At 51.1% G+C, this 25302-nt stretch overlaps 1 protein-coding gene across 14 annotated transcripts, besides 2 other annotated features; it reads left to right on the forward strand.

The window, feature by feature from the left end:
• Positions 4 to 20344, forward strand: AFMID (arylformamidase). 14 transcript variants are annotated; one of them, NM_001145526.3, is made up of 11 exons: positions 4 to 75; positions 3612 to 3702; positions 15141 to 15245; positions 15345 to 15393; positions 17298 to 17383; positions 17470 to 17542; positions 17735 to 17832; positions 18082 to 18160; positions 18245 to 18395; positions 18588 to 18692; positions 19553 to 20344. In NM_001145526.3, the coding sequence occupies exons 1-11, from the start codon at positions 13 to 15 to the stop codon at positions 19577 to 19579; spliced, it is 927 nt and encodes a 308-aa protein (NP_001138998.1). In that variant the 5' UTR covers positions 4 to 12; the 3' UTR covers positions 19580 to 20344. The 14 variants fall into 14 exon arrangements, 11 of the variants coding, with proteins under 11 accessions (NP_001138998.1, NP_001010982.2, NP_001378928.1 ...); NM_001010982.5 differs by having other exon boundaries at positions 18245 to 18380; NM_001391999.1 differs by lacking the exon at positions 18245 to 18395.
• Positions 11830 to 11889: an enhancer, noted in NCBI's record as "active region_12879". NCBI's record gives its function as "activates an Ori minimal core promoter by ATAC-STARR-seq in GM12878 lymphoblastoid cells {active_cell/tissue: GM12878}" and the evidence as "EXISTENCE:reporter gene assay evidence [ECO:0000049][PMID:35858748]".
• Positions 24540 to 24743: a silencer, noted in NCBI's record as "fragment chr17:76207979-76208182 (GRCh37/hg19 assembly coordinates)". NCBI's record gives its function as "represses an EF-1alpha promoter that drives an FKBP-Casp9 reporter gene in an ReSE screen in both phorbol 12-myristate 13-acetate-treated (for megakaryocytic differentiation) and untreated K562 erythroleukemia cells {active_cell/tissue: K562 | K562(+PMA)}" and the evidence as "EXISTENCE:reporter gene assay evidence [ECO:0000049][PMID:32094911]".

Below are 25302 nucleotides of genomic sequence, written 5' to 3' on the forward strand. Positions count from 1 at the left end.
GCTGTAGACGCCATGATGGATGTGTCTGGTGTGGGTTTCCCAAGCAAGGTTCCTTGGAAGAAGATGTCTGCAGAGGTAGGTGGATTGCAGGGAGGGACTAAGGGGCTGGGGCGGAGTTAGCTCATTTATTAGATTGGAATTCCAAGAAGGAAGCTTAGAAGCCGTCTAGAGCACTCCTGTGGGCATGCAGAGCGCCTAGTGCGTGCCAGGTCCCCAGTGCTTGAGCACCATGGTGTATTTTACCTTCTCCTAAGGATTTTTGTTAACCTGGTTTTCAGGATAAAGAAAATTGAAGTCCTGACTATGCTAATAATATCCGTAGACCCTGCCAGGCGTGGCGGCTCACACCTGTAATCCTAGCACTTTTGGCGGATCACGAGGTCAGGAGTTCGAGACCAGCCTGGCCAACATGGTGAAACCCCGTTTCTACTAAAAATACAAAAATTAGCCGGGCGTGGTGATGTACCTCTGTAATCCCAGCTACTGGGGAGGCTGAGACAGGAGAATCGCTTGAACCCAGGAGGTGGAGGTTGCAGTGAGCCGAGATCATGCCATTTGTACTCCAGCCTGGAAGGCTGGGCGATAGACCAAGACTTAGTCTCAAAAAAAAAAAAAAAAAAAAAAAAAAAAATCCATAGACCCGCAGGAGGTTAGGGGACAAAGTTCTGGACCTTGATCTGAGGTTACACAATGTTTTTGGGTCTGTGCTTATGTGGCACAGGCTGAAGGATTCAGAACAGCTGGTATTTACATTGGGGTTGTGAAGGTTAGAAACATACAGGCCGGGTGCGGTGGCTCAAAAAAAAAAAGAAAGAAAGAAAAGAAACCCATTGTATAATCATGATCATAAATAATAGCAACAAAGATGGTGGTAGTGATCACAGAGTGTGCCAGGTGTGGCTGTAAGGATCCTACAGGTAATAACCTTTCCAGGTACAGATTGGACAGATCCAAGGACCTCTGACAAAGAGCTCCTTCACTGGGAGGAAGAAGCAACCCACACTGACTGGCTTGCTTTATTTTACTCGCATGCTTTATCTCTTTTAACCTTGTGATTTGGATACATGCCTTCTTTTTTTGAGACACAGTCTCGCTCAGTCACCCAGGCTGGAGTGCAGTGGCATGATCTCGGCTCACTGCAACCTCTACCTCCCGGGTTCAAGTGATTCTCCTGCCTCAGCCTCCCGAGTGGCTGGGATTACAGGCACACTGTAGCTGGTACTACATGCCTGGCTAATTTTTTTTTTTTTTCTTTTGAGACAGAGTCTCGCTCTATCGCCCAGGCTGGAGTGCAGTGGCGCGATCTGGGCTCACTGCAACCTCTTCTTCCAGGGTTCACGCCATTCTCCGGCCTCAGCCTCCTGAGTAGCTGGGACTACATGCGCCCGCAACCATGCCCGGCTAATTTTTTTGTATTTTTAGTAGAGATGGGGTTTCACTGTGTTAGCCAGGATGGTCTCCAACTCCTGACCTCATGATCCGCCCCCCTTGGCCTCCCAAAGTGCTGGGTTTACAGGCATGAGCCACTGCGCCTGGCCAATTTTTGTATTTTTAATAGAGATGGGGTTTCGCCATGTTGGACAGACTGGTCTTGAACTCCTGGCCTCAAGTGATCCACCCGCCTCGGCCTCCCAAAGTGCTGAGATTACAGGTGTGAGCCACTGTGCCGGGCCTGGATAGATACCTTCTACCAGTCAGGAAACTGAATCTCAGAGACTAAGTAACTTGTTGAGGATAAAACAGTAAGTAAGTGAGGGAGGTCAGATGGCATTTGACCTCAGGCCTTGCCATGAGGCTGCCCTGACTTCCCATTTCTCATGATGGTTTTGAGCCCTTTCTTCAAAATCTGGTTCCTTGTTACTTTTTTTTTTTTTTTTTTTTGAGATGGAGTCTCGCTGTTGTCACCCAGGCTAGAGTGCAATGGTGGGATCTCAGCTCGCTGCAACCTCCACCTCCCGAGTTCCAGCGATTCTCCTGCCTCAGCCTCCCGAGTAGCTGAGATTACGGGCGCCCGCCACCATGCCCAGCTAATTTTTGTATTTTTAGTAGAGACGGAGTTTCACCATGTTGGCCAGGATGGTCTCGAACTCCTGACCTCAGGTGATTCACCCGCCTCAGCCTCCCAAAGTGCTGGGATTACAGGTGTGAGCCACCACGCCCAGTGTTTTGTTTTTTTTTTTTTGAAACAGGGTTTTGCTCTCTCAGGCTGGAGTGCAATGGCGCAATCTTGGCTCACTACAATCTCTGCTTCCTGGGCTCAAGCGATTCTCCTGCCTTAGCCTCCCGAATAGCTAGGACTACAGGTGTCCACCACCATGCCCGGTTGATTTTTCATATTTTTCGTAGAGATAGTGTTTCGCCATATTGCCCAGACTGGTCTGGAACTCCTGGACTCAAGTGATCTGCCTATCTTGGCCTCCCAAAGTGCTGGGATTACAGGCGAGAGCCACCGTGTCCAGCATTTTCTGTTGGTTTTTTTTTTTTTTTTTTTGAGATGGGGTCTCACTCTGTCGCCCAGGCTGGAGTGCAGTAGCATGATCCCGGCTCACTGCAACCTCTGCCTCCCTGGTTCAAGCTATTCTCCTGCTTCAGCCTCCTGAGTAGCTGGGATTACAGGCGCGCGTCACCATGCCTGGTTAATTTTTGTATTTTTAGTAGAAATGGGGTTTCATCATGTTGGTCAGGCTGATCTTGAACTCCTGACCTCGTGATCCCGCCTCCGCCTCCCAAAGTGCTGGGATTACAGGCGTGAGCCACCGCGCCCAGCCTCTGTTTTTTTTTTTCTTTTTTTAATTCTCCAAACTGCCTCAGAATGGTTCCTTGTTACTTTCTGCATAAAGTGTGAAGGTGTTAGCCCGACATTCACCGCCCCTCCTCCTCCAGCCCAGCCTCCCAGCCTCACCTCTGTGTGTCAGCCATAGGGCCTGCCAGCATTTGCAAACTGACCTTTCATTCCTTCCTCCTCACCTCTGTGCCTTTGACTGTGCAGTGACCTCCTGTGGTCAGAATCGCACCCTCTCAGCGCAGATCAGCTCCTCCTTTTTTAATTTTTTTGAGGTAGAGTCTTGCTCTGTCGCTAGGCTGGAGTGCAGTGGTGCGATCTCGGCTCACTGCAACCTCCACCTCCCAGGCTTAAGCAATTCTCCTGCCTCAGCCTCCCAAGTAGCTGGGATTACAGGTGCACACCACCACGCTCGGCTAGTTTTTGTTTTCAGTAGAGATGGGGTTTTGCCATGTTGGCCAGGCTGGTCTCAAACTTCTGACTTCAAGTGATCCACCTGCCTCAGGCTCCCAAAGTGCTAGGATTACAGGCGTGAGCCACCGGGCCACCTGGCCTCCCCTGGTCGTAACTGCTGTGGGAGTGGTGCCCATGATGGCATTAACTGAATTCGTTTGGGGGACCTCATCTCCCCTTAAGGCTGCCAGCTGGCTAAAGGCACAGCGGTCGCTGGTATACCTCTAGACCATGGATCTGAGGGCATCTTGGAGACCCTGGGATACTGGGGCGAGGGCTTCTAAGGCAGAGAGGAGCAGCCGGGCATGGGCGAGGGGGAGGGGCACACTCTGTTGAGAAGGAAAGTCTTACGGAGCCTCATGTTTGTGCCCTGCAGGAGCTGGAGAATCAGTACTGTCCCAGCCGATGGGTTGTCCGACTGGGAGCAGAGGAAGCCTTGAGGACCTACTCACAGATAGGAATTGAAGGTACTAGTGTGACCTCTCCGTGGCCGCATTGGGTGTCCTTAAGCATGTGGCAGTGATTCAGAATGCTGGGGGTTGGGGGGGCTGTGCTGCACCACCTGGGCCTCGAGGGGCATTTCCCAAACACCAGGCACTTTATAAACCTCCCTGCTCAGGGGCAGGTGCCCAGGACCCCTTGCTGCAGGGACTACTGGAGGCAGGAGAGGTCCGGGGGAGGTCCACGGCTCAGTCGACCATGCCTGGCCTTTCTTGCTCAGCCATCCATACCCAGGCCCGTAAGGCTGCGGGCTGTGGTTGGCATAGGGAGGTGAAGTGAACAGAGGAACGTTCCCCATCCGCTGCTGAATGTGGAATGCGGTCACTATTCCTAAAAAGCAATACTTTGGGAGGCCGAGGCAGGTATATCACTTGAGGCCAGGAGTTCAAGACCAGCCTGGCCAACATGGCAAAACCCTATCTCTACAAAAAAATACAAAAATTAGCTGGACACCTGTAATTCCAGCTACTCGGGAACCTGAGGCATGAGAATTGCTTCAACCTGGGAGGCAGAGGTTGCAGTGAGCTGAGATTACATCATTGCATGCCAGCCTGGGTAACAGTGAGACCCTGTCTCAAAAAAAAAAAAAAGCAATGAAGCCTCTTTTTTTTTTGAGACTGAGTCTTGCTCTGTTGCCCAGGCTGGAGTGCAGTGGCGCGATCTCAGCTCACTGCAACCTCTGCTTCCCGGGTTCAAGCGATTCTCCTGACTCAGCTTCCTGAGTAGCTGGGACTATAGGCGCACCTCTCCACACCCAGCTGATTTTTGTATTTTTAGTAGAGATGGGGCCACCATGTTGGCCAGGATGGTCTCCATCTCTTGACCTCGTGATCTGGCTGCCTCGGCCTCCCAAAGTGCTGGGATTACAGGCATGAGCCATCGTGCCTGGCCGCCTTTTCTTTCTTTCTTTTTTTTGTTTTTGAGACAGAGTTTCGCTCTTGTTGCCCAGGCTGGAGTGCAATGGCATGATCTCGACTCACCGCTAACTTCGCCTCCTGAGTTCAAGTGCTTCTCCTGCCTCAGCTTCCTGAGTAGCTGGGATTACAGGCATGCGCCACCACGCCCTGCTAAGTGTTTTGTATTTTTTTTTTTTTTTAGTAGAGATATGGTTTCTCCATGTTGGTCAGGCTGGTCTTGAACTCCTGACCTCAGGTGATTCGCCCTCCTCGGCCTCCCAAAGTGCTAGGATTACAGGTGTGAGCCACCATGGCTGGACTTTTTTTTTTTTTTTTTTTTTGAGACGGAGTTTTGCTCTTGCTGCCCAGGCTGGAGTGCAAAGGTGCAATCTCGGCTCACTGCAACCTCCACCTCCCAGGTTCAAGCGATTCTTCTGCCTCAGCCTCCTGAGTAGCTGGGATTACAGGCCTGTGCCACCAAGCCCAGCTAATTTTGTATTTTTAGTAGAGATGGGGTTTCTCCATGTTGGTTAGGCTGGTCTCAAACTCCCGACCTCAGGTCATCCACCTGCCTCGGCCTCCCAAAGTGCTGGGATTACAGGTATGAGCCACCGTGCCTGGACTTTCACCTTTTCTTTCTTTAAAGAAATCTGGACTTGGGAACCTGTAAACTAGTGAAGTCTTAAGGTCCATTTCCATCTCTACCCTGTATCTGCAAAGTGCTGTACCACGATCTGAACACCTGGTAATGCATCCGTGCTGGGATGGGGAGCAGGCCCCGAGGAGGAAGTGTAGGTGAGGACGCAGCCAACCATGCTTGGCAAATTAGCTCTGTTGCAGCAGGCTCAACACAGCCTTTCAGAGGCAGATGCCTGGGCTCCTGGGCTTGGTGGTTTTCTAAGCGGAGAGAACCCAGGAGGAGGAACAGACTTGTTAGAAGTGTATTCCAGCAATTCCACCATCCTCCTGTCTCAATAGATTGGGGGGGAGCTGTTTCCTGGGCTCTTCATGTTCCTTGCTGTGCTCAGCTCTGATCCAAATTCATCTCTATTTGCTCGATAAATACATGAGTGTGGTGAAACATACAAGAGCTGTAAGCAGCCAGGCGTGGTGGCTCATGCCTGTAATCCCAGCACTTTGGGAGGCCGAGGCGGGCGGATCATGAGGTCAGGAGATCGAGACCATCCTGGCTAACACGGTGAAACCCCATCTCTACTAAAAATATAAAAAATTAGCCAGGCATGGTGGCGGGCGCCTCTAGTCCCAGCTACTCAGGAGGCTGAGGCAGGAGAATGGTGTGAACCTGGGAGGTGGAGCTTGCAGTGAGCCGGGATCGCGCCACTGCACTCCAGCCTGGGCGACAGAGCGAGACTCTGTCTCAAAAAAAAAAAAAAAAAAAAAAAAAAAAGCTGTAAGCAAACCTATTTGCCTGTCTTAATTGTCTTGAGTGATAAAAAGAGCTGACCCTATTGAGAAAGAATGTCAGATGTAAAAAGCACGCACTATTGAAACTTCAAGTCATATGAATGAAAGAAAATTAAAAGGAAAGGATTAAAAAGGAAAAAAAAAAAAGAGGCCAGGAACTGTCACACACGCCTGTAATCCCAGTACTGTGGGAGGTCAAAGCACGAGGATCCTTTGAGGCCAGGAGTTTGAGACCAGCCTGGGCAACATAGCAATAACCTGCCTCTACAAAAAATTTAAAGGCCAGGCGTGGCAGCTCACGCATGTAATCCCAGCACTTTGCGGGGCTGAGGTGGGCAGATCACAAGGTCAGGAGATTGAGACCATCCTGGCTAACACGGTGAAACCCTGTCTCTACTAAAAATACAAAAAATTAGCTGGGCGTGGTGCGGGCACCTGTAGTCCCATCTACTCTGGAGACTGAGGCAGGAGAATGGCTTGAACCCAGAAGGTGGAGCTTGCAGTGAGCTGAGATCATGCCACTGCACTCCAGCCTGGGCGACAGAGCGAGACTCCATCTCAAAAAAAAAAAAAAAAATTTAAAAATTAGCAGGGTGCCGTAGTGTGCACCTGCAGTTCCACCTACTTGAGAGGCTGAAGTGGGAGGATTACTGCTGCCTTGGAGTTCAAGGCTGCATATTTCTTTATGTATTGGGTTTTTTTTTTTTTTCTTTGAGACAAGGCCTCGCTTTGTCACCCAGGCTGGAGTGCAGTGGCGTGATTTTGGCTCATTGCAACCTCTGCCTCCTGGGTTCAAGCCATTCTTGTGTCTCACATTCTTGTGTTTCAGCCTCCCGAGTAGCTGGAATTTACAGGCGCGTGCCACCACGCCAGCTAATTTTGTATTTTTAGTAGAGGCGGGGTTTCACCATGTTCGCCAGGTTGGTCTGGGACTCCTGGCCTCGAGTGATCTGCTCGCCTCCCAAAGTGCTGGGATTATAGGCGTGAGCCACACTTTGCCTTCTTTGCACCAGGGAGAATTATATTTTTTCTCATTTTTTATTTGTATTCGTCCTTACAATGCCAGCCTGTTAACTTGCAATGAGGGATGTTCGCTTTTAATGAGTAGACAGCCTCATCCCCATCAAGGCCTGGCCGCCCTCATCTGGGCTCAGGGAGAACAAAGTCTAACTGCTGTGTGAGTATGGTCAGGGCGCAGGAGGCTGGCAGAGAGGGGGTTTAAGAACCATTTCCTTTACCACTAGCTTTTAAATTAGTTTTACTGTGACCTTCAGTAAAAATACTTTTTTTTTTTTAAGACGGAGTTTTGCTCTTGTTGTCCAGGCTTGGAGTGCAATGGCGCAATCTCGGCTCACCGCAACCTCCGCCTCCCAGGTTCAAGCGATTCTCCTGCCTCAGCCTCCTGAGTATCTGGGATTACAGGCATGTGCCACCACGCCTGGCTGATTTTTTATTTTTAGTAGAGACGGGGTTTCTCCATGTTGGTCAGGCTGGTCTCAAACTCCCGACCTCAGGTGATCCACCTGCCTCAGCCTACCAAAGTGCTGGGATTACAGGCGTGAGCCACCGTACCCGGCCCAAAAAAATACATTTTACAGTCAGCAAAATGCTGTATATATTTTTTATCCAGATACAAAAGTTCAAATTCTGTATGATTTCATTTAAATGAGGTCCCTAGAGAAGTCAAATTAATAAAGACAAGAAATGGAATGGTGGTTGGTAGGGGCAAGGGGAGGGAGGAATGGGGAGTGAGTGTTTAAAGGGGACAGTTTCTTTCTTTTTTTTTTTCTTTTGAGACAGGGAGAGTCTCACTCTGTTGCCCAGGCTGGAGGGCAGTGGTGCTATGTCATCTCACTGCAACCTCCACCTCCTGGGTTCAAGCAGTTCTTGTGCCTCAGCTGCCCGAATAGCTGGGATTGCAGATGTGCACCACCACGCCCGGCTAATTTTTGTGTTTTTAGTAGAGACAGGGTTTCGCCATGTTGGCCAGGCTGGTCTCAAACTCCTGGCCTCAGGTGATCCGCCTGCCTCGACCTCCCAAAGTGCTGGGACTACAGGCATGAGTTGCCGCGTGCAGCCCTGCAGTCCTGTTTTTTTTTTTTTTGGGGCGGAGTTTCACTCTTGTTACCCAGGCTGGAGTGCAATGGCGCGATCTCAGCTCACCGCAACCTCTGCCTCCTGGGTTCAAGCAGTTCTCCTGCCTTGGCCTCCCAAGTAGCTGGGATTACAGGCGTGCGCCACCACGTCCAGCTAATTTTGTATTTTTAGTAGAGATGGGGTTTCTCCATGTTGGTCAGGCTGGTCTGGAACTCCCGACCTCAGGTCATCTGCCCGCCTCCCAAAGTGCTGGGATTACAGGCAAGAGCCACCACGCCCGGCCTTGCAGTCCTGTTTTTAATACCATGCACAGCATTATAAATTATTATTATTATTATTATTTTTGTTTTTGAGACGGAGTCTTGCTCTGTCACCCAGGCTGGAGTGCAGTGGCAAGATCTTGGCTCACTGCAAGCTCCGCCTCCCAGGTTCACGCCATTCTCCTGCCTCAGCCACCCAAGTAGCTGGTACTACAGGCGCCCACCACCATGCCCAGCTAATTTTTTGAATAGAGACGGGGTTTCACCGTGTTAGCCAGGATGGTAGCATTAGAAATTATTTCTAACCCAGGCTGGGCTCCATGGCTCATCCCTGTAATCCCAGCACTTTGGGAGGCCAAGGCGGTGGGAATCACTTGAGGTCAAGAGTTCACGGCCAGCCTGGCCAACATAGTGAAACCCCATCTCTACTAAAAACACAAAAAGTAGCCAGGCATGGTGGCGTGCGCCTATAATCTCAGCTACTTGAGAGGCCAAGGCAAGAGAATTGCTTGAACTCAGGAGGCAGAGGTTGCAATGAGCAAAGATTGCACCACTGCACTCTAGCCTGGGTGACAAAGCGAGACCTTGTCTCAGAAAAAAAAGAAAAGAAATTATTTCTACCCAGCCAGGCACAGAGGCTCACGCCTGTAATCCCAGCACTTTGGGAGGCCAGAGGGGGGCAGATCACTTGAGGTCAGGAGTTGGAGACCAGCCTGGCCAACACGACAAAACACCTTCTCTACTGAAAATACAAAAATGAGCCAGGCATAGTGGCACATGCCTGTAATCCCAGCCACCGGGGAGGCTGAAGTGGGAGAATAGCTTGAACCCAGGTTGGGGAGGTTGCAGTGAGTCGAGACCACGCCATTGCACTCCAGCCTGGGCAACAAAGAATGAAACTCCATCTGAAAAAAAAAACCCAGAAATTATTTCTAACCCAAAACAATTGAAAACAGGTACTCAAACAAGCATTTTTACACGCGTGTTCGTAGCACCATTTCCACATAGCCTGAGTTGTAAATAATAGCAATGAAGCTTTTGCTTTAATGAGAAAGGAAGTTTGCCATAAGGTTTGTTCTGGGGTGTCTTGCTGAAGCCCTCCTGTGTTCTTGCCCTGGGGTTCAGGGACTGGAGGGCCCTCTGTGGGGGGCATGAGTCACTTCATTCTCTGTCTCTGCACCCCAGCTGTCCTCTCCTAGAGAGAGGCAATTTCTCTTTCCCGAGGTTAGTAGAGTTTTTTAATATCTGAGAGAGGCTTATGCATGATAATGAACACCTATAGCTGCTTGGTTTTAATGGCCATTCCACTTAGAACATAAATTCCATGATGTTTTTCTTAATCGTAGCACAACTTTAATCTAGTCCATTTATAGGCTTGAGAACTCCTGTGTGAATTAAATCACGACCTTCTGATGAAGCCACTCCGATGAGCCTGTGAGGCACATTGTCTTCACACTGTGCTGGGGCAGGGTTGTTGGCAAACCCCCATGGATGGCAGCCGGCAATGGCCTCACAGTGACAAATGCGTCTGCCTTTTGACCCAGAATTCTACCCCTGAGAGTGCGTCCTACAGATGCTTGCAAGTGGTATGGTAATGGATGTACAAAGCTATTCACAGCAGGGGTGTTTGTGGTAGCATGGCCTGGGAGACAGCCCAGATGGCTTTCAGCAAAGGATTGGTGGCAGGTCTGCAGCCCTGGGGCTTATCAGACACCAACCCTGCTGGCACCTTGATCTTGGACTTCCAGTTTGCAGAACTGTGAGAAAATAAAATTTCCATTAAGTTTCCCCAGTCTGGTATTTTGTTATAGCCGCCCAGGCTGACTCAGACAGGAGCCCAGGATGGATGTGAGCGTGTTATAACCAGCTCACGCTTGTGGCTGTAGGGAGTCCGGGTAGAAGCTGGAAGAGCCTAGAGGGGTGGCTGCTGCCTTCCAGGGAACAGGTCAAAGGGTATCCAACCAGAGTGGTCTCAGTGCAGATGGGGAGGAGACTCTAGACCCAGGACAAGCAGTGGAGGGGGCATCCAAGGATTTCCTGATGATCAGATGTGGTTTGAGAAAGAGAGGGGGCCGGTGGCGCATGCCTGTAATCCCAGACTTTGGGAAACCAAAGCAGGAGGACGCTTGAGCCCAGGAGTTCGAAACCAGCTGGCAACATGCAAGACCTGGTCTCTACAAAAAAATTAAAAATTAGCTGGGTGTGGTGGTGCTTGGGAGGCTAAGGTGGGAGGATCACTTGAGCCCTGGAGTTCGAGAACAGCCTGGGCAACATGGCGAAACCCTGTCCCTACAAAAAATACAAAAGTTAGCCAGGCGTGGTGGCACACGCCTATAGTCTTAGCTACTCTGGTGGCAGAGGTGGGAAGCTTGTTTGAACCTAGGAGGTTAAGGCTGCAGTAAGCCGAGATTGCACCACTACACTCCAGCCTGTGTGACAGAGTGAAACCGTGTCTCAAAAATAAAAAGTGAATTCAGGAGTTCCAGACCAGCCTGGCCAACACCGTGAAAACCCATCTTTACTAAAAATACAAAAATTCGCCTGGGCCAGATGCACTGGCTCGCACCTGTAATCCCAGCACTTTGGGAGGCCAAGGCGGGGATATCACTCAAGGTCAGGAGTTCGAGACCAACCTGGCCAATATGGTGAAACCCCATCTCTACTACAAATACAAAAAAAAAAAAAATTAGCCATGCATGGTGGTGCGTGCCTGTAATCCCAGTTACTTGGGAGGCTGCGGCAGGAGAATCGCTTGAACCCAGGAAGCAGAGGTTGCAGATCACTTGAACCCAGGAAACAGAGGTTGGAGTGAGCGGAGATTGCGCCGTTGCACTCCAGCCTGGGTGACAAGAGCAAAGCTCTGTCTCAAAAAAAAAAAAAAAAAAAATTAGACAGGTGTGGTGGCGCACACCTGTAATCCCAGCTGCTCAGAAGGAGGAGACAGGAGAATCACTTGAACCCCAGAGGCGGAGGTTGCAGTGAGCCAAGATTGCACCAGTGGGCTCCAGCTTGGGCGACAGAGCGAGCCTCTGTCTCAAAAAAACAAAACAAAACAAAACAAAACCAAAACCACACAAGGCTTTTCAGTGAAATGCTCACTCCTCTTCCCTTTCGTGTGCCCAGTTCCCCTGGCCCCCGTCAAGGTGGCCACTGTTCTTCATATGGATATAGACTCCCCCTCCCTTTCATCCAAATGGCCCCGTAGTACACACAGTTCCACCCTGCCAGTTTCACTTAGTATTTCTTGGAGATGTTTCCTCATCTGTACGTAGATAGCTTCTCGTCAGTACGTCAGTACGCAGGGAGCCCTGCAGGGGCAAGTGGTTGGTAACGTGGGTGCTGGCAAAACAGGTTTTGCAACCTCACTGGCGTTCTGCAAAGGCAGCTTCCTGCCTGGATTGGCCCATGGGCAACTTCCCTTTGATTTCCCTCAGCTTTAATCCATCCAGCTGAAGTGGAGACAGCCCGGTTTATGGTTCTGCATTCTGGCATAGACGCAATTCGTACAAGCTCTCAGCCCCATGCTTTTTCTTCCTCTGCCGTGTTTACCCTTCTGGAGTTGCAGAATGAATCACCCACCCGAGGGAAGCACGGTTGTTTTTTTTTTTCTTTTCTTTTTTTTTGAGACAGTCTTGCTCTATTGCCCAGGCTGGAGTGCAGTGGTGCAATCTCGGCTCGCTGCAACCTCTGCTTCCTGGTTCAAGCAATTCTCCTTCCTCAGCCTCCTGAGTAGCTGGGAGTACAGGTGTGCGCCACCACGCCTGGCTAATTTTTGTATTTTTAGTAGAGATGGGGTTTCACCATATTGGCCAGGGTGGTCTCGAATGCCTGACCTTGTGGTCCACCCGCCTCGGCCTCCCAAAGTGCTGGGATTGCAGGTGTGCGCCGCCGCGCCCGGCCAGGCTTTTTTTTCTCTAGGCCTGCTGTGGCCACCAAGGCTGGGGACCAGGGGGCCTCCAGGGACAGGGATCCCAAGTTGCACGTTAATACACGGAGCCCTTTCTGAGATGCAGGTTCTACAGGGAACTGGATTCCACCTCTTTTGGGGAGATCAACCCAGCAGCCCAAGGATCCCCTGATGGTGCCTGAGCACAGCTGTGAGAAGGGGGTATCTGGATCCTTGGGGTGACAGGATGGGAGAGGTGGAGCATGGGCCTGCAGGCTGGCCCCCAGAGGCCTTAGGTCTCTGCTGACTAGCTAGAATTCTGAAAACTGTGTTATGTAAGACGTTTAGCATCTGCAGTGCCAAATAAAGGTGACCCCCACAACGACATAAAAAAAAAAAAAGATATGTCCAAATCCTAACCCTGGGAACCTATGAAAATCCTAACCCTGGGAACCTATGAAGGTATTTCCTTATTTGGTGTGTTTTGTTTTGGTTTGGTTTGGTTTGGTTTGTTTGATACAGAGTCTTGCTCTGTCGCCCAGGCTGGAGTGCAGTGGTGTGATCTCAGCTCACTGCAACCTCTGCCTCCGGGTTCAAGCGATTGTCCTGCCTCAGCCTCCCAAGTAGCTGGGATTACAGGCACGCGCCACCACGCCCAGATAATTTTTGTATTTTTAGTAGAGACAGGGTTTTACCATGTTGGCCGGGATGGTCTCAACTCCTGACCTCAAGTGATCTGCCCGCCTCAGCCTCCCTGTAACCAGCTGGGATTGCAGGTTCCCGGTTGGTATTTCCTTATTTGGAAAGACCATCTTTGTAGGTGTTATTAGCTAAAGTCAAGTCATTCTGGGTTAGGGTGGGCCCTAAATGCCATTGACTGCTATCCTGCTAAGAGACAGAAGAGGGAGGGACACACAGGGAGGGGACCACGTGAAGACGGAGGCAGAGACGGGAAGAGGCAGAGGTGACTGGAGTGACGTAGCCCCAGGCCTTGGAACGCCTGGAGCCACCAGGAGCTGCAGGAGGCAAAAGAGGCATTGGCAGAGTGTGGCAGTGTCCACACCTTAATTTCAGACTTCTGGCCTTTAGAACTGTGAGAGAATCACGTTCTACTGCTGTGAGACACTCAATTTGCAGTACTTTGTTACAGCTGCCCTGGTAAACAAATGCAATATTTATTTTCAGCAAAGCAGGGAGTTCCTGCAAAGATGACTAGACCAGGTTCCTTCTCCCAAGAGCGCAGTGTCCTAGCTGTGAATACTAGGAGTGCGTTGCTGCGGTGGGAGGGGAGGCAGGGTTTACTGACTGATCATTCCCAGTGGTCTGGATGCTCTCTTTCTTTCTTTCCTTTCTTTCGAGACAGAATCTCGCTCTGTCACCCAAGCTGGAGTGCAGTGGTGCAATCTCAGCTCACTGCAGCTTCTGCCTCCCAGGTTCAAGTAATCCTCCCACTTCAGCCTCCCGAGTAGCCGGAATTATAGGTGTCCACCACCACGTCCAGATAACTTTTTTTTTAATTTTTAGAAAATATAGGCTAAGGCACGAGAATTGCTGGAACCCAGGAGGCAGAAGTTGCAGTGAGCCAAGATGGCACCACTGCACTCCAGCCTGGGTGACAGAGCAAGACTCCGTCGCAAAAAAAAAAAAACGATGAATGCTAGGATAAAAAATAAAGCAAGAGGCCAGGCACAGTGGCTCATGCCTGTAATCCCAGCACTTTGGGAGGCCGAGGTGGATGGATCATCTGAGGTTGAGCTCGAGACCAGCCTCGCCAATACAGTGAAACCCCGTCTCTACTAAAAATACAAAAATTAGCCAGGTGTGGTGGCACGGGCCCATAATCCCAGCTACTCAGGAGGCTGAGGCTGGAGGATTGCTTGGCGCCGGGAGTTTGAGACTGTAGTATGCTTTGATTGCACCTGTGAATAGCCACTGTACTCCAGCCTGGGCAATATAGTGAGACCCTGTCCTTTAAAACAAAAAAGTATAGCGCACATAATAAGTGTGTAGTAAAGTCGTGCTGAAAAGGGTCCTCGCAGAACCACAGTTCACTTGTTGACAGACGTCAGGACTGGCAGTCTTTTTTTTTTGAGTTGGCGTCTCGCTCTGTCCCCCAGGCTAGAGTGCAGTGGCGTGATCTCAGCTCACTGCAAGCTCCACCTCCCGGATTCACGCCATTCTCCTGCCTCAGCCTCCTGAGTAGCTGGGACTACAGGCACCTGCCACCACGCCTGGCTAATTTTTTGTATTTTTAGTAGAGACAGGGTTTCACCATGTTAGCCAGGGTGGTCTCGATCTCCTGACCTCGTGATCCACCCGCCTCGGCCTCCCAGAGTGCTGGGATTATAGGCGTGAGCCACTGCACCCAGCCTGGCAGTCCTCTTTCGATGGGAGGTGCTCAGAGCTGAAGCTCAACACGCCAACTTAAGGGAGCTTTCAGCTGGAATGTTTCTACCTGAGCTGAAATAGAAATTGCCGCCACCTGGCTGGGCACAGTGGCTCATGCCTGTAATCCCAGCACTTTGGGAGGCCAAGGTGGGTGGATCACGAGGTCAGGAGTTCAAGACCAGCCTGGCCAACAACCCTGTCTCTACTAAAAAATATATATATATATATAAAAATTAGCTGGGCATAGTGGCGTGCACCTGTAGTCCCAGCTACTTGGGAGGCTGAGGCAGGAGAATCGCTTGAACCGGGGAGGTGGAGATTGCAGTGAGCCGAGATCGCGCCACTGCACTCCAGCTTGGGCAACAGAGTGAGACTTCGTCTCAAAAAAAAGAAAAGAAAAATTTCTACCACCTGAGCTTGTGCTGACAGCGACTTGTCCATTTCTGAGACAGCCACCACAAGGGCCCGGGCCACCAGGAAGAGCCTGCTGCATGTCCCCTATGGAGACGGCGAAGGGGAGAAAGTGGACATTTACTTCCCCGACGAGTCGTCTGAAGGTTGTCGGTGAAGGGGCTGGGGGTCCCGGGGCTTGGGGGTCCAGTGGCAGAGCTCAGCAGGGCGGGCCTTGCTCACACGCCCTGTGCTTGGTTTTGCAGCCTTGCCTTTCTTCCTGTTCTTTCACGGAGGATACTGGCAGAGCGGAAGGTGAGTCGGGGGATGTGGATGGTGGACTGCAAGAGAGATTCCACTTTCCCTGGGGGACTCCTCCTCCAGGGCTGCCGCAACCAAACTGCCACAAGCTGGGCACTCCTTGCAGGGCTGTGTCTCACAGCGCTGGAGAACGGAAGTCTCAAGTCAAATGTGGGCAGGGTTCCTAGGGAGGGTCCTTCCTGCCTTCTCCAGCTTCTGGTGGCCTTAGACAGCCCTTAGCTTGTGTCTGCATAGCTCCAGCCTCTGCCTCCATTCACATGTGATCCTGGTGTTCCTGGGTCTCAAATCTTCCTCTCTCTTTTTTTTTTTTTTTTTTTTTTTTTGAGACAGAGTCTCACTCTAACCCAGACTGGAACGCAGTGGTGCGACCTCAGCTCACTGCAACTTCTGCCTCCCGGGCTCAAGCAATTCTTCTGCCTCAGCCTCCCAAGTAGCTGGGATTACAGGTGCACGCCACCACACCCAGCTAATTTTTGTATTTTTAGTAGAGACAGGGTTTTACCATGTTGGCCAGGCTGGTCTTGAACTCCTGAGCTCAAGTGATCCTCCTGCCTTGACCTCTCAAAGTTCTGGGATTACAGGCGTGAGCCACCACACCAGCCTCCTTTTTTTTTTTTTTTTTTTTATAAGGTCATAGTCACAGGTTCTGGGGTTAGGATTTGGACATATCTTTTGGGGGGACACAGTTCAACCCACTACACCCAGTGAGAAGCATGTTCAGCCTCCTCTTGAATCAAGGGAAAAGCCAGAGTGACCAACCACTGTCCCAGTTTGCTTGGGACTGAGGAGGGGTTTCCCAGGACATGGGGTTTTCAGTACTTTAGGAAAAAAAAATGAGAGTCCCAGGTAAAATGGGACAGTTGGTCACTGTAAGCTAAGCAGTGGGTATTTGGGAATTTGGGATCTTGGCAGACACTGCTGTTCCCTAGGGTCTTCCTACAGAGTTGCCTTCAAGCATGTTCATGTTAATAGCTTACATTTAATGGCCAGGTACGGTGGCTCACGCCTGTAATCCCAACACTTTGGAAGGGCAAGGCGGACGGATCACTTGAGGTCAGGAGTTCGAGACCAGCCTGGCCAACGTGGTGAAACCCTGTCTCTACTAAAAATACAAAAATTAGCTGGACGTGGTGGTGTGTGCCTGTAATCCCAGCTACTCGGGAGGCTAATGCAGGAGAATCACTTGAACCCAGGAGGCGGAGGTTGCAGTGAGCTAAGATCATGCCACTGCACTCCACCCAGGGTGACAGAGCGAGACTCTGTCTCAAAAAAAAAAAAAAAAAAAGCTTACATTTATTGCACACAAAACTCTCTACACTGCTAGTCTTTAATTCTCAAAAACAGTTCCCTGAGAGAGGGAACATAATTGCCTCTATTTTACAGATGACAAAACCAGGCTTAGAAGTTACACAAATTGCCTTGCACAGTGGCTCACACCTATAATCCCACACATTGGGAGGCTGAGGCAGGAGGATTGAGTTAGAAACCAGCCTGGTCAACATAGCAAGACCCCCATCTCTACAAAAGAAAAGATAAATTTGCTGGGCATAGTGGTGCACACCTATACTCCTGCTTGGGAGGCTGAGGCAGGAGGATCGCTTGAGCCCAGGAGGTCGAGGCTACAGTGATCCATGATCGCACCATTGCACTCCAGCCTGGGCGACAGAGCGAGGCCCTATCGCTTAGAAAACAAAAAGTTACATGAAGTTCCCCCAAGGTCCCGTAGCTAGCATGTGATGTGGCAGGGAGAGAGCCTGTCCGCTTCACTCTCTCACATGGGACCAGAAAGGGGTGATGCTGTGCGTGGACAGGACATCTGGCAAGTGGTGTGTCCAGGACACAGGAAGCAGCGTAGTGGCCAAGCTGCCTCCAGCTGTCACATCTGTGTGTCTCTGCAGTAAGGATGAGTCTGCCTTCATGGTCCACCCGCTGACGGCACAGGGAGTGGCCGTGGTAATAGTGGCTTACGGCATCGCCCCCAAAGGTAATAGGAGTGGTTGCTGCAGGTCCGAGGGCCGGTGGGCTTTAGGAGGAAGTGCATCCCTGACCCAGCTCATGCTCTCTGTGCAGGCACCCTGGACCACATGGTAGACCAGGTGACCCGCAGCGTTGCGTTTGTCCAGAAGCGGTATCCAAGCAACAAGTGGGTGTTGCCAGTAGATTTTCTTCCTGTTGGACCTCAGTGGGTGGGAGGACAGTGCAATCAGTACCTAGGATACAGCCAAGCTGCCCCTCTGGCCTGTGGAGCAGAAAGCAAATTGGGACTCTTCGAAGGGGGCCTGATGTTGTGGGGAAACTGCGTGCAAATCCAGCTCTCTGCTCTGACCCCTCCCAGGGGAATTTACCTGTGTGGACACTCAGCCGGGGCCCACCTGGCTGCCATGATGCTCCTGGCCGACTGGACCAAGCATGGGGTCACGCCCAACCTCAGAGGTTTCCATGGGAGCTACAGCCTGGCTGGGCAACCTTCATCTCCCCATGAGCCTTGGGGTTTGGGCCAACTGCTTGAAATCCTCCCGGCCATGAGTGGCTTGACCGCAGGGCTTCGAGCCCTCTGAGCAAGGCCTTCTCTGCCTCCTCTGTGCCCCTTCCCCTGGTCCTGCCCCTCTGGCGGTGGGGGTGGGCTGGCCCTGCCTTGCTCCGCCTGGAGCCTGGCCCTGTGACAATTCTGTACCTTCACAGGCTTTTTCCTGGTGAGTGGGGTCTTTGACCTGGAGCCCATCGTGTATACTTCACAGAACGTTGCTCTCCAGCTGACCCTGTGAGTTACTTGGCCACCACCTCCCCTGGCTCACCAGGAGCCTGGCTCCTCTCTGTCCTGACCCCTGTCCACTCCCCACCCCAGGGAGGACGCTCAGAGGAATAGCCCCCAGCTGAAGGTGGCCCAGGCACAGCCGGTGGACCCCACCTGCCGTGTGCTGGTGGTCGTGGGCCAGTTCGACTCCCCCGAATTCCACCGACAGTCCTGGGAGTTTTACCAGGTACTCCCAGTGCAGGTTTGTGGCCAGAGGTCGAGGGTCATGTGGGCTCATTATTTTCCTCTTTCTTTTACCCAAGTGGACAAGACCCTCCATCATTTATTTAACACGTACTGAGTGAACCCTGACCTGTGCCAGGCATGGCCCCATGTCCTGCCCCACCTCCCCTCCCACTGCTCAGGCCCCTCTTCCCATGTCTCCCCTGCCCAGACCCTGTGTCAAGGAGAGTGGAAAGCCTCATTTGAAGAGCTCCACGATGTGGACCACTTTGAAATTGTTGAGAATCTGACCCAGAAGGACAACGTGCTCACCCAGGTGGGGCCTCATCCCTGGCAGCCCTTTCATGGTAGACAGCACAGGTCCTGTCGCAGCCCCTTAGATGTGCAAACCAGGAGTTCAAGACCAGCCTGGCCAACATGGAGAAACTCCGTGTCTACTAAAAATACAAAACAAATTAGCCAGATGTGATGGTACGTGCCTGTAATCCCAGCTACTCAGGAGGCTGAGGCATGAGAATTGCTTTAACCCAGGAGGCAGAGATTGCAGTGAGCCAAGATTGCACCACTGCACTCCGGCCTGAGCGACAGAGTAAGACTCTGTCTCAAAAAAAAAAAAAAAAAAAAAAGACCTGAGAACCTAGGAAAGAAAGAACCTAAGAAAGACCATCTTGTTTCTTTCTTTTTTTTTTTCTTTAGAGACAGGGTCTCCTCTCTTGCACCCAGGCTGGAGTATAGTGGCAAAATCTTAGCTCTCTGCTGCCTCCTGGGCTCAAGTGGTTATCCTGCCCCAGCCTCTCGAGTAGCTGGGACTACAAAGGCGTGCCACTGTGCCCTGCTAATTATTCAATGTTTTGTAGAGATGGGGTCTCTCTATGTTCCCCAGGCTGGTCGTCGTCGTCTTCCTTCTTCTTCTTCCTCCTTCCTCCTTCATCTTCTTTCTTCTCCTCCTCCCCCTACCCCCCCTTCTTCTTCTTCTTCCTTCATCTCAGCATATTATACCTCTAACCAGACTGTCTTCAACTCCTGAGTTCAAGTGATCTTCCCACCTCAGCCTCCCGAAGGGTTGGGGTTGCAGACGTGAGCCACTGCATCCAGCCCTGTCTCATTTCCTTAATCAAATTCCTGCAAAGAGCTGCTCTGATTCTGGGGCTTTTGTGTCTTCTCTTCCTGTTCCAGATTATCTTGAAAACAATCTTCCAGTAGTTCTGACGATACTTGGAGCCTGGTCCACGTGCATCCCACCTTGGGAAGCCTCTCCAAAGAGCTTTCGGAGCTGACACTGACAGCTTCAGTTTCCCCCAGCACCCAGGAGAGCCTTGCTGTGTCTGTCTGCCCGGCAAGAGTCCATTCTCACTGCTGGGACACTCATGAAAATCTCCACGTCCTCCCTCTTCCCAGCCTGGATGGAGCTCCAGGGCTGGGGAACGTCCGCAAGTCAATGCTCAGAGATGCCCGGAGCTGCCTCTTAGACTCGTCTGGCCCATCTACCTGCTGACAGAGCATGACAAAGATGACGCTCAAAAGTAATGCCATTACTTCTTTTTTTTTTTTTTTTTTTTTTTTTTTTGAGATGGAGTCTTACTCTGTCACCCAGGCTGGAGTGCAGTGGCGTGATCTTGGCTCACTGCAACCTCCACCTCCCGGGTTCAAGCAATTCTCCTGCCTCAGCCTCCTGAGCAGCTGGGACTACAGGCGCCTGCCATCATGCCTGGCTAATTTTTGTATTTTTAGTAGAGACGGGGTTTCAACATATTGGCCAGGCTGGTCTCAAACTCCTAACCTTGTGATTCGCCCGCCTTGGCCTCCCAAAGTGCTGGGATTCCAGGCGTGAGCCACTGCGCCCGGCCAGAATGGCATTATATTTAAATAGTTCATAAAGAAGCACAAAAGAATATTATTTCATAACATGTAAAAATTATATAAAACGTAAATTTCCATGTTGATAAATAAAGTTGTATTGGAACACGGCCCTGCTCGTTCATTTACGTATTGTCTAGGGCAGCTTTCAAGCTGCAGGGTGGAGCTGAGTGGTGGTGACAGTGACCTCCTGGCCCGTAGTGCCTGAAGCATTTCCTATCTGGCCCTTTTCAGGAAAAGTTTGCGGACCCCTGGGTAAGGGCTTCCCCAAGCCAGCTACCCTCTGCCTTCTGCTTCAGTCTCCTGTCTGCTCTGTCCTCCATCTCCCTGACATTTGGGTCTGTCCCTGAATGCCCCGGGGTCTCAGCGTTGGGGCCAACACCTTGACCTTGACAGGACAATGCTACCCACATGTAGGACAAGCTTCCTCTGCACCCGAGAGTGGTGTGCATGTCCCAAGAAGCCAGCTATATCCATCCACCACCCACCCCACCACACCGCCTCTTTCTCTCACACCGAATAGCATTCAAGAATTTCCACTGTGGGCTGGGCGCAGGGGCTAGTGCCTGTAATCCCAGCACTTTAGGAGGCCGAGGTGGGCGAATCACCTGAGGTCAGGAGTTCAAGACCAGCCTGGCCAACATGGCAAAACCCTGTCTCTACTAAAAATACAAAAATTAGCCAGGCGTGGTGGCTGGCGCCTGTAATCCTAGATACGTGGGAGGCTGAGTTAGGAGAATCTCTTGAATCCGGGAGGCAGAGGTTGCAGTGAGCTGAGATTGTGCCCCTGCACTCCAGCCTGGGTGACAAAGCCAGACTCCATCTCAAAGAAAAAAAAAAAAATTCCACTGTATGTGTGCAGCAAACCATCATGACACACATTTACCTGTGTAACAAACCTGCACATCCTACACATATACCCTGGAACTTAAAGTAAAAGTTGGGGGGGGGGGTAAAAAAGAATTTCCACCGTGACATTATTGAGTATAGCAAAAAAAAAAAAAACAAGAAACAGCCTAGTGTTCATTAGGGAATAAACGCATTCAAGCAGCATCAAACCCTGCAGCCATTACAAAGAGATCTATGTTGACCATGTGGAATATCTCCAAGAGCCACAGTAGCCTCCCTTATCTGTAGGATTCACTCCAAGACCCTCTGAAACCATGGATAATACTGAACCCTATATACACTATGTTTTTTCTTGTATATACATACCTACGATAAAGTTTAATTTATAAATTGGCAAAGGGTATATAAATATTCCTTCTAAGAGATTAACAATAACTAATAAAGTAGAACGATTAAAACAATATACTGTGATCAAAGTTATGTGAAGCCAGGTGCTGTGGCTCATGCCTGTAATCCCAGCACTTTGGGAGGCTGAGACAGGTGGATCACCTGAGGTCAGGAGTTGGAGACCAGCCTGGCCAACATGACAAAACCCCGTCTCTACTAAAGATAAAAAAAATTAGCCGGGCATGGTGACACATGCCTGTAATCCCAGCTACTTGGGAGGCTGAGGCAGGAGAATCGCTTGAACCTGGGAGGCGGAGGTTGCAGTGAGCTAAGATCACACCATTGCACTCCAGCCTGGGCAACAAGAGTGAAACTCTGTCTCAAAACAAAACAAAACAAAACAAACTTATGGGGTTGCTCTCTTTCTCTCAAAATATCCTTTTTTTGGCAGGGCACGGTGGCTCATGCCTGTAATCCCAGCACTTTGAGAGGCTGAGGTGGGTGAATCACCTGAGGTCAGGAGTTCAAGACCAGCCTGGCCAACATGGTGAAACCCCGTCTCTATTAAAAATACAAAAAATTAGCTGGGCGTGGTGGTGCAGGCCTGTAATCCCAGCTACTTGGGAGGCTGAGGCAGGAGAATCACTCGAACCCAGGAGCTGGAGTTTGCAGTGAGCCGAGATCATGCCATTGCACTCCAGCCTGGGCCACAGAGCAAGACTCCATCTCAAAAAAAAAAAAAAGAAAAAAAGAAAGTCTTTTTTTTTTTTGAGACTGTATCTCACTCTTTCTCCCAGGCTGGAGTGCAGTGGCCCAATCATGGCTCACTGCAGCCTCGACCTCCCAGGATCAAGTGATCCTTCCACCTCAGCCTCCCGAGTAGCTGGAAGTATAGGTGCACGCCCGACTGATTTTTTTTTTTTTTTTTAGACGGAGTCTCACTCTTGTTGCTCTGGCTGGAGTGCAATGGCAGGATCTCGGCTCACTGCAACCTCTGCCTCTTAGATTCAAGCGATTCTCGTGCCTCAGCCTCCCGAGTAGCTGGGATTACAGGTGCCCACCACCATGCCCGGATAATTTTTTGTATTTTTAATAGAGACAGGGTTTCACCATATTGGTCAGGCTGGTCTCAAACTCCTGACCTCAGGTGATCCACCTGCCTCAGCCTCCCAAACTGCTGGGATTACAGGCGTGAGCCACCGGGCATGGCCTTTCCTGGCTAATTTTTTAAATTTTTGATAGAGATGGGGTCTCAGTGTTGCCCAGGCTGATCTTGAACTCCTAGATTCAAGTGATCCTCCCTCCTTGGTCTCCCAAAGTGCTGAGATTACAGGCGTGAGCCACCGCCCCGGGCTGGAAAATACTTTTTTAAACGAGGGCAATGTGAATCTGAAATGCCATTTGAGGAAAGATCTGTTCGCCTGACATCCTGTTTGAGCCTGGGTGGACAGGACAGCACCTGCCAGCATCGGGAAGCACTGCAGATGGGAAGAGGCTTGGTCACTCTCCAAAGGTGGCAGGAGTTGGAGGGGGTGAGCTGAAGGTAAGGAGAAAGGAGGTGGGGACCCAGGAGACAGGGGCTGCGCAGCGGGCTCGGGGCTGACACCCCCACGGATACAGTTCACTGGGGCTCAAACATAAAAGGAACCCAACTATTGTGGGAGGAAAAGACTCTTCTGCCTTTCTGCCTTTTCTTTTTTTCTTTTTCTTTCTTTCTTTTTTTTTTTTTTTTTTTGAGACAGAGTCTTGCTCTATCGCCCAGGCTGGAGTGCAGTGGCGTGATCTCGGCTCACTGCAAGCTCTGCCTCCCGGGATCACGCCATTCTCCTGCCTCAACCTCCCGAGCAGCTGGGACTACAGGCGCCTGCCACCACACCCGGCTATTTTTTTGTATTTTTTAGTAGAGATGGGGTTTCACCGTGTTAGCCAGGACGGTCTCGATCTCCTGACCTTGTGATCCGCCCGCCTCGGCCTCCCAAAGTGCTGGGATTACAGGCGTGAGCCACCGCGCCTGGCTCTTTTTTCTTTCTTTTTTTTTTTTCCGAGACAGAGTTTCACTCTTGTTGCCCAGGCTGGAGTGCAGTGGCGCAATCTTGGCTCACTGCAACCTCCACCTCCAGGGTTCAAGCGATTCTCCTGCCTCAGCCTCCTGAGTAGCTGGGACTGCAGGCGCGCACCACCACGCCTGGCTAATTTTTGTATTTTTAGTAGAGACAGGGTTTCACCATATTGGCCAGGCTGGTCTCGAACTCCTGACCTTGTGATCTGCCCACCTCAGCCTCCCAAAGTCCTGGGATTACAGGCGTGAGCCACCGTGCCCAGCCTGACCCCTCTGCCCTTTCAAAAACTATGTTCGTTCTCTCACAGCCTTCTCTTGTCATATTAAGTCCACACCGCAGGCCTAATTTGTCCAGTGAATGCTATGCAAATATTTCATGCACCTGCTGATCGCAGGAATGATATGTACTTGGTACGCACTGATCGTACCTCGGGGTGGGAGAAGAGAGGGCAAGGAAGCAAAGAATAGCCCCCTCCTTTCCTGGTGCACCTTCAGATGTGCCGATGGGGCCCAGGCTCGCTGCAGATGGCCCCCTTCCCAGAGACAGGGGAGGATCCTCCACCCACTCCCCAGCCTCCAGGACCATCCTGACTCCTGCCTTCAGGCACTCAAGTTATGCGTCTAGACATGCGGATATATTCAAGCTGGGCACAGCACAGCAGCCCCACCCCAGGCAGCTTGAAATCAGAGCTGGGGTCCAAAGGGACCACACCCCGAGGGACTGTGTGGGGGTCGGGGCACACAGGCCACTGCTTCCCCCCGTCTTTCTCAGCCATTCCTGAAGTCAGCCTCACTCTGCTTCTCAGGGATTTCAAATGTGCAGAGACTCTGGCACTTTTGTAGAAGCCCCTTCTGGTCCTAACTTACACCTGGATGCTGTGGGGCTGCAGCTGCTGCTCGGGCTCGGGAGGATGCTGGGGGCCCGGTGCCCATGAGCTTTTGAAGCTCCTGGAACTCGGTTTTGAGGGTGTTCAGGTCCAGGTGGACACCTGGGCTGTCCTTGTCCATGCATTTGATGACATTGTGTGCAGAAGTGAAAAGGAGTTAGGCCGGGCATGCTGGCTTATGCCTGTAATCCCAGCACTTTGGGAGGCTGAGGCGGGTGGATCACGAGGTCAGGAGTTCAATACCAGCCTGGCCAAGATGGTGAAACCCCGTCTCTACTAAAAATACAAAAAAATTAGCCGGGCATGGTGGCGGGCGCATGTAATCCCAGCTACTGGGGGGGCTGAGGCAGAGAATTGCTGGAACCCAGGAGATGGAGGTTGCAGTGAGCCAAGATTGTGCCACTGCACTGCACTCCAGCCTGGCGACAGAGCAAGACTCTGTCTCAAAAAAAAAAAAAAAAAGTGAAAAGGAGTTGTTCCTTTCCTCCCTCCTGAGGGCAGGCAACTGCTGCGGTTGCCAGTGGAGGTGGTGCGTCCTTGGTCTGTGCCTGGGGGCCACCCCAGCAGAGGCCATGGTGGTGCCAGGGCCCGGTTAGCGAGCCAATCAGCAGGACCCAGGGGCGACCTGCCAAAGTCAACTGGATTTGATAACTGCAGCGAAGTTAAGTTTCCTGATTTTGATGATTGTGTTGTGGTTGTGTAAGAGAATGAAGTATTTCGGGGTAGTATGGTAATGCCTTCAACTTACAAACGGTTCAGGTAAACCACCCATATACATACATATACATGCATGTGATATATACACATACAGGGATGTGTGTGTGTTCACATATATGAGGGGAGAGAGACTAGGGGAGAGAAAGTAGGTTGGGGAGAGGGAGAGAGAA

This window comes from Homo sapiens, chromosome 17 (genome assembly GCF_000001405.40).
Source record: "Homo sapiens chromosome 17, GRCh38.p14 Primary Assembly".
In the NCBI taxonomy this organism is placed as follows: domain Eukaryota; kingdom Metazoa; phylum Chordata; class Mammalia; order Primates; family Hominidae; genus Homo; species Homo sapiens.

Excerpts from the sequence above, each read along its gene's own strand:
- AFMID (NM_001145526.3), top strand. The coding sequence starts at position 13 with ATGATGGATGTGTCTGGTGTGGGTTTCCCAAGCAAGGTTCCTTGGAAG. Across the intron at positions 15,394-17,297 it reads GGATACTGGCAGAGCGGAAG|TAAGGATGAGTCTGCCTTCA; the intron begins GTGAGTCGGGGG and ends GTGTCTCTGCAG. Across the intron at positions 17,833-18,081 it reads GGTCACGCCCAACCTCAGAG|GCTTTTTCCTGGTGAGTGGG; the intron begins GTTTCCATGGGA and ends GTACCTTCACAG.